A 16,404-nucleotide genomic window follows, 5' to 3' on the forward strand; every position below is an offset into this window, starting at 1 on the left:
TATCATCCTGAAATTTACATGACCTCACTACATGAGGGAGAAAACAACATAAGAGCAGATGTCTTCTTTTTAAAGGCTTCTGTAAATCATCTTTATTCAGTAGATATTTTATTGTCCTAGATGTATTACAAAAACGAATACTTAAATTGCGTTAGTATCCATTTATTTTGGTAATATTTTATCTAACCATCAAATTTATACATGGGAAGATGATTTGTCAAATCCACTTTTTTCTATGAAATTAAAGCTATTCATTTCATATAATGCACACTTTCTTGAAATAGAACACAAACTACTTGTGAGTTAAAATGTGTTGCACATGTATGTGTGATAAATGTCTCTGACATTTTCATCTCAGAGTTGGTGAAAATGTTCTTACTACCTGTTTGTTTTACACTGATACTGTAGTTAATCTATGATATTATTTCAAATTGAATTTAAGCAAAAATCGACTAAAGTAAGCACTAAAGAAACAATAGGTTAAGAAAATGGTATTTAAAATTGTATAGGTAATAAATTATCAAGATGTTTGACTCTTAGAACCCAGTGGAAAACTGAAGATTCAAATACAGAATATTAAAATTAACTTTAAAAGAGAAATGATGCACTTTATTTTAGGGGGAATGATATTTACAATGTTATTATCAATTAAAACTAATTACGATAAATTTCCTTTGGAAATACAAATGCTATCAAAACTCAATATCACTAATTTGCCATGATTAAAATTATTTTCCTTTTTATCTTGCCAACAGATTATTAATTAAATAACTGATTCTCATATACACCCTTACCCTTTCTCCATTCCTTAGTACAATTATAGCTGAGCTTAAAGAAGACAGAGATCATCTATTTTTTTACATCAAATGAAAAATTTACATAAGTGTTATGTACAGATTACATAAAATACAATCCATTACTTATTCTCTCAACTACACATCAGTGCTCAGAAATTAAGCAGCTGTCAAGCTTTTAACTAACAATAGGTAGAAGTCTAGCCAATTAGTTGCCTTGTGTTGTCATTACCTGATTTTAGAAAGTATTTTGTTCTACAGCCTTGTCATATTAGACAGAGTTTTTTCTTTCATTTTTTTTTTTCTGGAGGTAAAAATATAACTACATATCTTGTGCCAGACATGCCAGCTCGGTTGTGATTTCATCATTCAGACACGGTCTGTCTTAGTTTCTACTCCAGTCTCAGCAGCCAGAATCACGCCTGATCCATTGGAAGATGAAAAATGCTTGAAGAATGAATGAACTAATGAAGAATGAATAAACATGCTGGCTGTATATGTATGTATTAATGTTTTTCCAAAAATATATAGGTTACTTATATGTTAACAAAAAGAGGACAACAAATTTATTCTGCCAAATTAGGCCATCAGTTTTTTAGTTTTCATTCATTTGAAAATAGTTATTGAGTGATTATTATGATCCATCTTTCTGTAAGCAATCAATCTGGTTATGATATAATTCCTAGTGGTGTCTGAGATTGATCCCTAAGTTATTTCAGCGACCAAAGCTGGAGATAAAAGCTTCAAAACTCCATGTATATACTACAAAGTGCATATGTATATTTTGTTCAGTGTTCAAAATGTAGAATAACAGTATGGACAAAGGGAATTTGAAACTATTTGTTGAATGTCTTCCAATTTTTTAAAATACATTGAATCTTTTATGAACAGATTAGCTTCTTTTGCTTTAGTTACTAATCATTCATAACCTCAGATTTGTTTGGCACTCAATCATTTATTTTTCCTAGAATATATGCAGGTACATTTGAATTGTAATTTTGTCCTTGAATATTTTCTGTAAATAGTCTAAATAAAATGAAATGAACATAAAAACGTGTCTTCTAAAGCTATGTGAAGTATGATTCAAGACTTTTTTTTCAAGCATATGCATATGCGCTTCTACTTTGACACCGACAACTTAAGGTAAAATTAAACATTACTTAATGGAAAATATCTTTTGTGATCCTAGAGTAAATTTGTTTATGCCTGCATGCACGAATGTTTGTAAATAAATATTAATGTGTTGGCATATACAGCTACATAGCTTTTAATGGGTTCATATTTAACACATTACTCTAATACTATTTCCATTTTACAATAGAATAGCGTGAGCGTATTTCAATGTCAATACATATAAATTTACCTCCTTCTTCAAAAGGACACCTCACTTTTCTTGAGTGTATTTGTGGGAAAATAACACCAGTTGCTGCAACCCCAAATTTTCAGTAGCTCAAGGAAAAAGAAGCTTATTTCTTGTTACAGAAAGTCCGATCTCCTGTGAATTCTCTCTTCTTCAGGTATAGATTCAGACACCTAGACTCTCTCCATTTTGTGGCTTTGCTATTCTTAGACTTGGAGATCTCTGCTTAATCTTTTCCATGTAGCTGACAGATCAGGTCATGGGGGAAGATCAAACAGGACAATTTTGAGCCAAGTATGATGTACATCATTACTTCAGCCCCTATTCTATTGGCTATAACTTAGTTACAAGACAACCCTTACCTGCTGGGAAACAGGAAAATGTAGGTGAGTGAATAAGAGGAAAAGAAAGAAGAATTGATTATTATCTAGCCAGTTGCTGCCACATCAAATATAAATGTACTGTTATTTATTTAATGATTTCTGTACCATACGTACTTTTTGTTTTTTAACAGGACTATTGTTGCAATAAAAACACACACATGCAAATACCTTTAAACACACATTTGAGTTTTTGTAGGTATTTTAAGTAAAATTTTAATGTGAACTTTCAGATTGTTTTCAGAAAATGCCATATGAATTCATATTCACATCAATGGTGCACGAGAAAAGTAATTTTTTCGTATTTGCCAATATTGGATTGTATCAATCATTTAATTTTATTAGTCTGGAAGTAAAATGGGCTTGCAGCTTCAAGTCTTTTAAACAGGCAAACCTACAGTGTACTCATCCATATTTCTCAGCAGGCCTTTGCATTCATGACTATGAATTAGAATAAGTTTGATATAGGGTCATATTATATGACTATGGTCAAGAAATAACCTAGATGGTATTTTATTTTAAAATTTATATATATATATATGGTTTTAGACGAAGTCTCACTCTGTCGCCCATGCTGGAGTGCATTGGTGCAGTCTCAGTTCACTACAACCTCCACCTCCCAGGTCCAAGCAGTTCTCCTTCCTCAGCATCCCGAGTAGCTGAGACTATAGGCACATGCCACCACCACCATGCCCAGCTACTTTTTGTATTTTTGGTGGAAATGGGGTTTTACCATGTTGGCCAGGCTAGTCTCGAACTCCTGACCTCAAGTGATCCACCCACCTCAGCCTTCCAAAGTGCTGGGATTATAGGCTTGAACCACCATTTTCGGCTTCCTATATAGGTATTTTAATGGAGGCTCTGATTCTGGGTGCATTATCTATTTTTCTCAAATTAATTTATTACCTGTATTTCACAGATTAAGGATTGAATTTGAAAGAGTGAATATGTGTGTGTTAATTTTAATTCTACTTTTTAAATTCTCTTTGTTAATATATGAAATATAACCACTGATATAGTAGCATACACTAAGTTGTGTAGCATACTCTAATAAACATCAAGATTATTTTATAGATGTCCTATCCCTAAGGCAAGATTTTTTACTTTTGGTACTACTTAGAAATTTTATTAAAATATTAAACATTAATATAATATTTGCAGAAATTATGGTGATAAACATTTTAAAAACTCATATATGAAGAAGGAAAAACTTTAACCATTATTATTTCTATAATTCCATATGTTAATTGTTTAAGGATAAATTTTCTACGCCATTTTCAACAGCTTGTCCAATGTAGTGCAAAACACATTTGACATTGCATATAATATTTCCAATAGTCTGAATTTGACTTTTTTTCACTTAAACTTACAATAGGAGCATTTTTTCTTTTATTTAAATATTCTTTGCTGGCATGATTTTACTGCATGCCTATGAAACTAACATAGTTTAATTCATAAGCTTTTAGTAGTAACTTAAGTCTTTGTAAAATTTCATTTCTTTTTAATATATAAAAACTGATGAGAGGAACATCTTAAACAATACCACATGTTTATCATTAGTCATTTATTTAAAATAAATGGTTATTCTAAATGATTGCTCTATGGTATTTCTGAGACAAAGTATGTGCCTTTTTTTTTTTCTCTTTTTGAGACAGTGTCTCACTCTGTCTCCAGGTCAGAGTGCAGTGGTGTGATCTCGGCTCACTGCAACCTCTGCCTCCCGGGTTCAAGCCATTCCTCTGCCTAAGCCTCCCGAGTAGCTGGGACTACAGGCACATGCCACCATGCCCAACTAATTTTTGTATTTTTAGTAGAGACAGGGTTTCACCATGTTGGCCAGGATGATCTCAATCTCTTGACCTTGTGAACCACCCGACTTGGCCTCCCAAAGTGCTGGGATTACAGGCGTGAGCCACAGTGCCCAGCCACATATACCTGTCTTTCAAAACCAAACAACTAACTTCTCTCATTTTTTTCTCTCACTTTTTCTATCTTTGTCTCTCTTTCTCCTTCTGTCCTATCTTTCACAGATACTTTATTACCTATTGTGTACCAAGAACTGTTTAGGCACTGAGGATTAAACAGTGAAAAGACAAAGTGCTTCCTGGAACTGTGAATTTGGCATTCTAATTGTGGAAGCAAATCAATGTCAATGGATTTCAAAATGGGTCTATGTTTTAAGATTGGTGAGATGAAGTTACACATACAGTTGAATTGTTTTTCTTTTATTTACTATTAATTTAGCAATAGAGTGAAAGGGATACTTGCAATTTTAAGAAGAGAAATAAGTAAGTTTGCTTCCCTGGTGGCTCCCTCTTATGGAGGCAAGTCTTCGATTCAGAAGAGATTCATTTTCACTGCTGTGTAGAGGATGGTTTGAAGGGGCCTGAAATAAGAACAAGGAGGTGAATGAGGAGGAACCCGCCGCGCTAATCTAGGCATGGAATAATAGCTTTCTCTATGAACTATGTCACAATGGAAATAGAGTCAAGAAAGAATATCGAGTATACATATTGAAGATGAAATAAATTGATTTTGCAGAAAGAAATTGTTTTGTGGAGAGTAAAAGAAAGGAAAATAATTCAAGGACACCTCCATTTCTGGCTTGAGATATTTGGTGGATGTTCAATACTACTGCAGGGATAATGGGGATTAAGGTGTGGGTTTAGGGAGGAAAATCAAATGTTCTGTTCGGACATTGTATTAGTCTCTTTTTATACTGCCATAAAGAACTTCCTTGAAACTCTGTAATTTATAAAAGAAAGAGGTTTAATTTGCTCACAATTCCATATGGCTGGGGAAGCCTCAAGAAACTTACGATCATGGTGGAAGGCGAAGGGGAAGCAGGCACCTGCTTCACAAAGTGGCAGGTGAGAGTGAGTGTGTGAAGGAGGAACTGTCAGATACGTATAAATCCATCAGATCATATGATAACTCACTCACTATCACGAGAACAGCATGGGGAAAACCATCCCCGAGATCCAGTCATCTCCCTCCCTCCACACATGGAAATTACAGGTCCCTCCCTTGACATGTGGAGATTACAAATTGAGATGAGATTTGGGTGGGGACACAGAGCCAAACAGTACCAGACATTATAAATATCAGGTATCTATAGCATAATCAATTGGAGATAGAGAGGAAGTAATTGAATACACGAGTCTAAAGCTCAGGTAAAGAGTAGAGATAAAATTGTGGGAGTTATTAGCAAGTTCATAGTATTTCAATTCATATGGTTGCACGATATCATTTAAAGACTGACCACAGAGAGAAAGATGAAAAGAGGCCAGGATTGCTCCCAGGAGACACTTCATACTGTGAGAGACAAAGGCATGGAGGAACTAGCAAAGGAAGTAGAGAAGTAACCAGTGAGAATGAAAAACATCAGGAGGCAGTGGCTTCGAGGAAGTCAAAAGGAGAGAGTGGTTGACGGCATCGATTTTACTAGAAAGTTGAGTAAAAGCAAACAGAGAAGAACACAGTGGTTTGGGGGAAAAAGGTCACCTGCCATTTTGAGTGGTCCACTACAATGTGTAATCATAGCTATAATAATGAGAGATTTCCAAAAATGAAAGAAAAAACAGGCAAGTTAAGAATTCTACAGCACAAGAAGAAGGGAAAGGCAAGTTTCTGTACCATTAATCTAATATTTAGATGAGACACAGAAATTTGTGCATATATTAATATTTCTTATAATATTACTGAGACCATCTTTCCCCAGAGAGTATAAGGCTAGTGCTTGAATACATAGAATAGTTTTTTGACATAAAAGAATACTTTCAAAGCAACAAAAAGTTTTGCATTGATTTGGGTCAATGAAGCATTTAGCTCTTGTGATTTAATGTATAATGGACTATGTTACAGCTTCTTCCCACTCCCCTGAATATTTGGAGATATCTGAGGAACCCATTAGGTGGAGTTAAGATCTCAGGAATTTGGGAGTTGCAGAGCATAAGATACATTTCTAGATATCCTTCTATGGTAAACAGTCCTTAGGTTAAGAAAACAGCAATTTAGGTAATACTTTAAACTAGTGGATGTATCCAATTAACTTTATTAAAACAAAGGCTATTTTTCTGAAATATTATTGTAATTTATGTAATTATGTGAGTTTCAAAGAAATAGCTGGCATTTTTGTCTAGGTTTTTTTTTTTCTTGAGACAGAGTCTTGCTCTGTCACCAGGCTGGAGTGCAGTGGTGTGATCTTGGCTCACTGCAACTTCCGCCTCACGTGTTCCAGCAACTCTCTTGCCTCAGCCTCCCGAGTAGCTGGGAATACAGGTGTGCACCACCACACCCATCTAATTTTTGTATTTTTGGTAGAGACGGGGTTTCACCATGTTGGCCAGGATGGTCTCGATCTCTTGACTGCATGATCCACCCGCCTCAGCCTCCTAAAGTGTTGGGATTACAGGCGTGAGCCACCACACCTGGCCTTGCCTACATTTTTATACTATTTGTCAGTCATAATCTGTGACAAAGACATAAAGTAATGAAAATGCCCAGCATGTCAACTGAACCTTAAGAAAGATCCCTCTGTAATTTGTGGGGAAGGAGGGTGGAATTCTTAGGCACCTCTAATTTGGGAAATTTGGAATTGTGCACAAAAATATAATGTATAGTATATACATATATACATGATTTGATCTGTAATATATGCCAGAACTTGCCATCAGTAGTCAAAATGTCATTTCGACTGCAAGCTTGTTGGTTTGTTCTCTGTGAACTTGGAGACCATGGGTGAAGATAACAAGTGATACATAAAATAATTATTACTACAATCAATCACTTCACACCTTGTACTCTTTCCCTAGAAAGGAGAAACTGCAACCCCTAATTTTGAAGTTTTTAAATCAGTGAATCTCAGTTTCTAATTCTGTTGTTCATATTTTTCTCCAGGTGTCACATAGCATTTAATATATCTAAAATTAATATATGACTACCACTTAATAATTCCTAGGCCCAAGGCTAGTTATTGCTTCCCACCCTCCCAGAAGTTGTGTGACCAAAGCTCCATGCTCTACAGGACACCCATTATTAAAAGTGTCCTCTGATAACTGAAACAGAGGAGAATGGTTTGGAGGCTTTAAGCCATTTTATCTTGAATAACCTGTGATAAGTTGGGTCTTTGACTTTGTACAACTTAATAACCAATAGGTGAAAGTATATATTCTTCCTTATGAAGAGGAACACACATTTTTCTAACTATATCATCATTGTTGACCCTTTTCAAACAAATCACAAATATTGGAATAGGATAATAGCTTAAAAAAATCAGGAAGAACTAAAAACAAACGAGCCATCACTGTGGCTCCAGCCTTCAGATTGAGAGAATTTGGCGTTTCTGGAAATTAGATCTATATTAACAAATATCATCTTGAATTATAACTCCCACAATTCCCTCATGTCATGGGAGGAACCCCGTGGGAGGTGATTGAATTATGGGGCCGGGTCTTTCCCGTGCTGCTGTCTTGATAGTGAATGAGTCTCATGAGATCTGATGGTTTTAAAAATGGGGTTTCCCTGCACAAGCTCTCTTCTCTTGTCTGCCCCAGTGAGATGTGCCTTTCACCTTCCATCATGGTTTTGAGGCCTCCCCAGCCATGTAGAACTGCAAGTCCAATAAACCTGTTTCTTTTGTTAATTGCCCGGTCTTGGATATGTCTTTATCAGCAGTGTGAAAATGAACTAATGCAGAAGATCTTGAGTTATTTGACGCTAAAACCTGAGAAAGATAACACCCCTGGAACCAAAAATCTATACTCCAGTTGTTCTCATTAGTTTTACTAAAAATGTCTTTTTGGAAGAAACTGATGGGCCCTCTGCTGCCTTTAACTTCCGTGGACTAAATGGAGGCAATTGATACTACCATTGTCTTCAATACCATCTTTTCCCTCAGACCTACACCTCTATCATTATTCTCTAGTTCAATACACTATGTGGATTTTCTTTATTAAAAAAAAGGAGTTTCATGAATCCCCAGCTCTGTCAGACTTTCCGTAAAAATTCATGTTAATTATACCTCAAACCTATCTCTAAAATGTATCTGCTTCTTTCTATTCCTACTATGAGTGACTATGCTACTACAATAACTTCATAACTGATCTCTTTGCGTTCAATTTTGCTTTCTATCAATCTATTCTCTTCACACTGCTGCCAGGGTGATCTCTAACAAAATCACATCTGATAATCATAGCATCCGCTTATGCATTCTGAGGGTTTCATATTTTCTTTGAAAAGAAAATACAAAATTCTACATATGACCTTTCCCACCTGGCCATCTTTACCTCTAATTCTCTTCACCACACAATAATCTCACAGCTGGTGATCTGTTAGAATTCTCACCACTTCTCCTTTGAAGTGCTTCTGAGGCCTTTCTGAAATTCTCTGATTCTCCCAAATGTCATAAATTCTGTCTTAACTAGAGATTTGGATATATTGTTTCCCTTCCTGGAAGACCTTTCTTCTCCATTTTTAACTGTCTTTCTGATATTCAGATATCAGGTGATAAAAAGTAATATTCAATTCTTTGGAGAGAACTTCTAAGACTGCTCAGAAAAGATAAAATATTCTGTTACTCTTTGCTTGAACCCACCACATTGTCATTATTGATTTGGCATCTCTCTTTCCCTGTTGACCTCAAGTGGTCTTGTCTTGCTGACCTACATACCTAGTATCTATAGTGGAATTGACAACAATAATACAAACAAACATTAGACAAAGTGGCAGATTAGAGAAACACATTTGCAAACTTCATACAGGTTGCGCATCCCTTATCTGAAGTACTTGGGACCAGAAGTGCTTTGGATTTTAAAATATTTGTATGTACTACATAATGAGATATCTTGGGATGGGACCAAGTCTAAACACAAAATTTATTTATATTTATACACTTCATTGCCTGAGGGTAATTTATACAATTTTAAAGATAATTTTGTGCAGTTTCAGATTTTAAAGCATTTTGGATTTCAGATTTTCTGATTAAGAATCCTCAACCTGTAATAGAAAACTGATACGTATTTACAATATATAGGGAATATTGGGAATAAATATAAAAATAGACCCCAAATGAAAAGATTCATTATATCCAATCTGAGAAAAATGGAGGTTATTCAGAAGGTTATAGTTCGTGGGAGAGTGTGGGAATTGTTAAAATATTTTTAGAATTCAACATAGAATTCTCTATTAGAATTTTAAAAATGTATATACCTTTTGATTTGGCCATTCTGTTTCTAGGAACGTATCCTCTATAACCATTAATTTATGCACAAAGAGGTACACACAAAGATGCTTATTATATCATAATTGTAAGAGATCTTGAAGCTAAAATAGTGGAAAGCCCATGAGCAAGTGAATGGTTGAAGAAATTATGGAAAATATATATTGTGTATAGCTGCTTAGAAAAATGCAAAAAAAATTATATGTTGTAAAATGGAGGGCTTTTCAGGGTATATTTTCTTTTCTTTTTTTTTTTGGAGACAGAGTCTTGCTCTGTCACCCAGGCTCAAGTGTAGTTATACCATCTCGGCTCACTGCAGCCTCTGCCTCCTGGGTTCAAGTGATTCTCATGCCTCAGCCTCCCAAGTAGCAGGGACCACAGGTGTGCATCACCACACCTGGCTAATTTTTGTATTTTTAGTAGAGTCAGGGTTTTACCATGCTGGCCAGGCTGGCTTCAAACTCCTGGCTACAAGTCAAGGTATAATTTCAAATGACAAAAGCAAATTGCATGGCAACATATATGTTCACATTAAAAGGCACATATATGTGTGTGTCTATGTGTATATATATATATATATGTATGTAGATGTATTACAAAGAAAAAATAAATAACTTCATTAGAGATATACTAAGTTTCTTTTAGATTTTTTTCTATGTGCAAGTAGAATTTTTGCTACATTGGTCAGAAACTTTTCTTTTTAAACATTTCCTTTTATATTATTGCAGTAATATTGTTGTTATAAACTTACAGAGATAATCTATTTATGTAACAGGGGAGAGAATCCAGAAACAGGCCAGGCATGGTGGCTCACGCCTGTAATCCCAGCACTTTGAGAGACCAAGGCAGGTGGATCATGAGGCCAAGAGATCCAGACCATCCTGGCCAACATGATGAAACCCCGTTTCTACTAAAAATACAAAAATTAGCTGGGCGTGGTGGCATGCAACTGTAGTCCTAGCTACTTGGGAGGCTGAGGCAGGAGAATCGCTTGAACCTGGGAGGCAGAGTTTGCAGTGAACCCCTTGACTCTGTTCCAGCCTGGCAACAGAGCAGGACTGTGTCTCAAAAAAAAAAACAAACCAAAAACCAAAACAAAACAGAATAAAACAAAAGGACTATTCAGTGGTGCGAAGACGTTTGAATGTTCACATTGTCACAGGATCTTTCAGGTGTCGTTTTGCCAGCCAGAAAACTCTGTGGCCAGTGGTGCCTTTGCCTCAGTTTGCTCAGGCCTACTGGGTTCCATCCAGGCTGTGCTCAGCCCACAGTACTGGCCTGGATCCCACACCAGCCAAGGGTGAGCCAGGCATGGAGTGGTGAGGAGTGTGTGAGTGAATGACAGTGGGATCTGGCCACTGCACACAGCCAGGCATGCCACCTGCTGAAGTGAGGCAGGCAGCTCTAGGTGCCAGCCAGGCACCAGCTCTGTGCAAGGCTGTGGCTGGACAAGATGTACTGCAAGTGGCTTCTGCTACAGGCACCGGCATCTGGATTTGGGGACTGCAGTAGCGACCAGAAGCTTGGAGTCGTCAGAAACTGCAGAGCCCTAAAGAGGGAGTTATGGCCCTGGCTTGGGAAGCCCCCAGGTCTGGGCTTCCCAAAAGGCTGCAGCTCTTCTCTCCTTCTTGTTGCCTGCAACATGGAGAGCTGGGTCATGGTGGGGGGAGCAGGGGAGTGTGTTTCAGCTCAGTCTGGGTTACAGCTGTTTCAGTCCCACCATTTGGCAGGTCTCAAGTTCTTGTCCCATGTCTAGGAAGAATGAGGTACATGGACAACTGGAGGGTGAGCAAGGCAGAGAGGAGCTTCACTGAGTGACAGAACAGCTCTCAGGAGACTGGCAATGGGTAGGTCATTTCCTCAGGCAGGTTTTCCCAGTAAGCTGAGGAGACTGGAAGTGGGTAGTTGCTTCATGCAGCTGGTTGTCCCAATGCCTGTCAGAGTCTGCCTTAGTCCCGGGGTTTTTTTGGGCTCAGAAGGGAGAAAGTGTATGCTGACTGGTCCATGGATGGCCACTGGTGGGCCTGGAAAAAGCACCCTCTGATTGGCCAAATGGTCATCAATTAAGTTCTCACTCGGAGCTGCAGACTTCACCCAGAACTGTCAGCTCGGCCCCCAGGCTTCAGGTCATCCCTGGATTCAAGGTGGAGTTTCACTCAGGACCCATCCCTTTCCACCCAGGAGCCTGTCTGCCTCCTGCCACCATCAACATGTCATCCATGGTGCTCCGGCTGTTCATGCCAAGGGGTTCCTGCAGGTCCATGCTGAGCTGCCCTCCGCCCCCCACCTTGGGCTCACTACCATGCTCCTGGGGACACCAAAAGTCAAGAGGGGGCCGAGGTGGAAGGGCGCTGGAGTGTCAGCGTGCCCTGAGCGTGCACACACCTGGCCATGTTTTGACAGCGTTTGGGCCTGACCACAACTTTGGTCTGCCCCAGAGTGGGCACCAGGAGCAGGGAGAGGCCAGGGAGTGAGGGCAGGCACTTTCAAGGCTGCAGGGGCAGGGGGCTTCCTGAGTCCCCGAGAGCACAGAGATGCCTAGGTCCAGAGGCACGGCTGGGAAGCTGCACCTGCGCCCAGGAGTGTGGGCTCCTACCTTGCCAACTCAGTAGGAGCCAGAGCTCCCGCCTGTTCCTGGTCCACACCATCTCCACAGAGTGAGTAGCCCTGGCCGTGCCATGCCCCCTGCAGCTGGTGACCCTACAGCAGCTGCTCCAGATGGGCTGCTGCCACCAACAACATAGTTTGAAAGAAATCATATTGAATTCCTACTTCACATTACATACAACAGTCAATTCCATGTTGCTTTAAGGCTTCCATGTGAAAAGCACAACCACAAAATTATAAAATATAAAATTAAAACTCTGAAATGAGAGCTCAGTAGATTTTATTACATAAAGATTAAGAATTTCTACTCATCAAAAAGACATAAGAAACATGATAGGACAAAATACTGACAGGGATATTTATATAATATAAAGCTCCAAAATGTGTAGTATCTAGAGCACAAACTTCGATAGGAGTTAAAAGCCAAACAAATTATTGGGAATGCAAATGAAAACCCCAGTGAATTTCCACTTTACATACAACATTTTAAAAAATGTAGAAGTCTTAGATACCATGAATTTACAATGATGTGAAGCAGGAACAAGCGTATCTATTGGGGTAATATAAATTAATTATATCACTTCAGAAAACAGTCATGCAGATTCCTATAACTTTGAACATTGATACACGAAGTGAGTTGGCAATCCCACTCCTCAGAATATAGATTTGAAAAATTCTTTCACCAGTGTTTTTCACCTCATTAGAAAAATCACTATATAATTTAGAATAGAAAAAATCCTGGGCAGAAAGCATAGGTTCATCAAAGTAGAATGGATAAAACTCATTAAAGTTACACAAGGATATTTTATATAGCAATGATAATGAATAAACTACAATAATATACATTAATATGGATAAATCTTATTTCAAAGTCTGATATGATTTCATTCCATTAAAGAAGAAAAGCAAGCAAAATGTAACAATATATCATTTATGGATACAATATAGGTGACATTGTCAAAGAGAGACTCAAGAGAATAATTAACAAAAAATGTAGGAAACAGGTTCCCTGAAGAGAGACAGTGGGAAAATAGAGGCAAATGGTGAGCCATACATGGAGTTTCAGGCAGATGGTGGAGATACAGATAGTCATCTTATTAGAATTCTTTAAACAGCGTATATTTGTTTTAAACATTTCTTTTTCTGTTTTTCTTTTTCCCAGTGTGTAATTTGTTTATGGGGGAAAATCTCATTTGTCAAATACAAGGATTAATTGTGTTGACATAAAACTTACTGGACTGAAATATTCTTCTGGAATACAAAATAATTACCATAAAATATACAAAATTTAAAATAAAACTCTTTATGGAGGAATCATGAGTTAAGATTGTGAATATATATAACTATGAAGCTTACTTTGAATTCATTTCTTTTCACACACAAAATGTTGATTGATTATTTACTGTACCGGGGCCATACACTAGTGAATGGAAATAAAGCAATGAACAAGACAGCAGTAGTATCTGTCGTCTTTCAGTCTATAAGGTAATCTTTGTCATAATATTCCAAGAGTGAGTACTACAGATATTAACAACAGTGGTATATAAATATTTTATGTTTAATAAACTTACATCCAATTAAAGCTCATTGAATGGATATATAAATTACTAATTTTAAGCTGTTGAACTAGAAATTTTTCTCCTTACCCATAACAATATGATAGATAACAATCATAGGTTTAAGCTTCTGGTTAAATTCATGCTCTTTGAAAATTGCAATCTAGACAACTTATGGAACTCTATGAATTCTATACTAAAAAGGTTTGGCTGTTTTTAGGTATTGGCTTAAATCATGTCTTCCATTTCCAAAATATCATCAATTAAGAAAGTATCTAAACTTAAAAAAAGTTTATCTTCCCCTACAAAGATGTCTCTTCTTAATAATGCATTTTCATGTCTTCAGTGGTTTATAAAGAAGACTGAGCACATCATAGTCAATCAGGAAATACTTAAATATCTTCATGTGTACTTAAGAACACAATACATTATCAAACTATGCTGCTATTGTACTAATACTAGTGGCTTTAAACAAACATTTTGCTAAATGAGAAAAAAGAATTTTACCAAAAATTTGAATTTCCACTCTTTTTTCTCTCTCTTCTAGATTACTGTGTGTGTGTGTGTGTGTGTGTGTGTGGTGAGTGTGCACGTGCTTGCATGTAACTGTGTGCTAGACATTTGCATTCATTTCTGCTTTTTGTCTTTTAACTCTTCAGAAGTGGTAATATCCCATTGGCGACACAATAAATCCTCCCCCAAGCTACCAAATATATCATGATGCATGAAAGCACTTAGTGAAGCAACAGCAAGAACAAATGATTTTTCTGAGCCAATTTTCCTATATTCTTGCAAATGTTTCTGATAAAAACAATTGGAAAATAATAGAAATGCAAATTAGACATTTGTGATGTCTCATCAGAGTAGTTTCCTATCAAGTCCAATTATTCTTCCATATTTCTTTAACACTTCTTCATTGAGCTGCATAGCAGTTTGAATGAAAGCCAAGATGTAGAAGAATAAACATAGTTAGATTGAACCAACAGTGGGCTTTTTTGGTTGAAACTCAGGCCTGGGAGCAAACACGAATGATAAAGTTATTATGAAGGCGGGTTTAAATGATTACACATTAAAAATTAAATTTTGAAATGTTAAGCTAATACATTTGGAAATGGGCAGCCATTTAAAGATGTATACCCATAATGTGTATTTTATGAATTTGTTCCCTATTAAGCGTGAAGCTCTAGTTCCATAACTTCTGGGAAGCAATGGCCAGTCTCAGACTTAAGGATTAAGAGGTACGTGATTTTTAAATATATTAAATGATATATAACACCTGGAAAATATATAAACAATAGAAATAGAAACTCAGGTGTACCTACTTAAGAATTTCTAAATATGAGGTTTTATTTCCTCTGTAGAGGAAGAGTTTACATTTTAAGTGATTGACTGTCATATCACTATTTTTTGTATCACTAGCTATATGCAGCCATGGTGCCAAATTAAGGGACAGCAAACACACAAACCTGGGGTTGATGCTTGATGTCAAGTTCCAACACATATGAGAGACCAAATCATCTACAAACTATAGATGACATTTTCACAGAAGTTTTCAAATTTTCCAAATTAGTTGTGCCTAACTATAATGTTGTTGTTATTGTTCTCACCATTACAAATGAGTCCTTCACGTTAAAGTAACATTCCTGGGGTTTTTTATTATTAATTCTTTGTTAGAGATGATGGTTGAGACATGGTACAAAAATTTTCTGCAAAAAGTTCAGATATTTCTTTGAAAATCAGACAATTGTATGCACTTTCTAGGTAAAATTCACATACAATAAAATGCACATATTTTTGTCAATGTACTTTTTAATGATTCATTACAAATGTATACACCCCTGTAACCACCGTCACACAAAAGATGTCGAATATTTTCATTGCTTCAGAAAAATTTTTCTGGCCCTTTGAAGTACTCTGTCTTCCAAGTTCCAGGAGATTAAAAATTTGCTTTGTGTCATCGTAACATTTTTCTCCTCTAGAATTCCATATCAATGGTATGGAATTCCAAATTCAGATTTGGAATTTCAAATTCAATTTCAATTCAAATATGGAATTTGAAATCAAATTTCCATATCTATGGTAGGTTATTTTTTATATCTGGAATCTTTCACTCAGCATAATTTTTTCAAGATTTATATTGTTGTTACATATAATTAATTTTTATTGATGAATAATATTCCTACCTCATAATTTATACATTCATCTGCTGATGGAAATTCAAGTTGTTTACAATTTTTTTTATTATAAATAAAACTTCTATGAACAATTGTGAACACATCTTTGTGCAGACATATATCTCTTGAGTACCTCAAAGTAGAATCACTGGGATATAGGGTAAGTGTATATAAATTTAAAATGATTTTTTAAAACGTTTTTATTTTCTTTGAGACAGAGCCTTGCTTTGTTACCTGGGTTGGAATGCAGTGGCGCAATCATGGCTCACTGCAGCTTCAACTTCCCGGGCTCAAGTGATCCTCCCATTCAGCCC

At 36.5% G+C, this 16,404-nt stretch overlaps 1 long non-coding RNA gene across 1 annotated transcript in view; it reads left to right on the forward strand.

Annotated features, from left to right (window-relative positions):
• Positions 1–15,090: 15,090 nt before the first annotated feature.
• Positions 15,091–16,404, forward strand: part of LOC124904565 (uncharacterized) — a 91,837-nt gene continuing 90,523 nt past the window's right edge. The window contains exon 1 of the long non-coding RNA XR_007066966.1: positions 15,091–15,154. This is a non-coding gene — a long non-coding RNA (uncharacterized LOC124904565). The remainder of the gene's footprint in view (positions 15,155–16,404) is intronic.

This window comes from Homo sapiens, chromosome 1, assembly GCF_000001405.40.
Source record: "Homo sapiens chromosome 1, GRCh38.p14 Primary Assembly".
Classification (NCBI taxonomy): domain Eukaryota; kingdom Metazoa; phylum Chordata; class Mammalia; order Primates; family Hominidae; genus Homo; species Homo sapiens.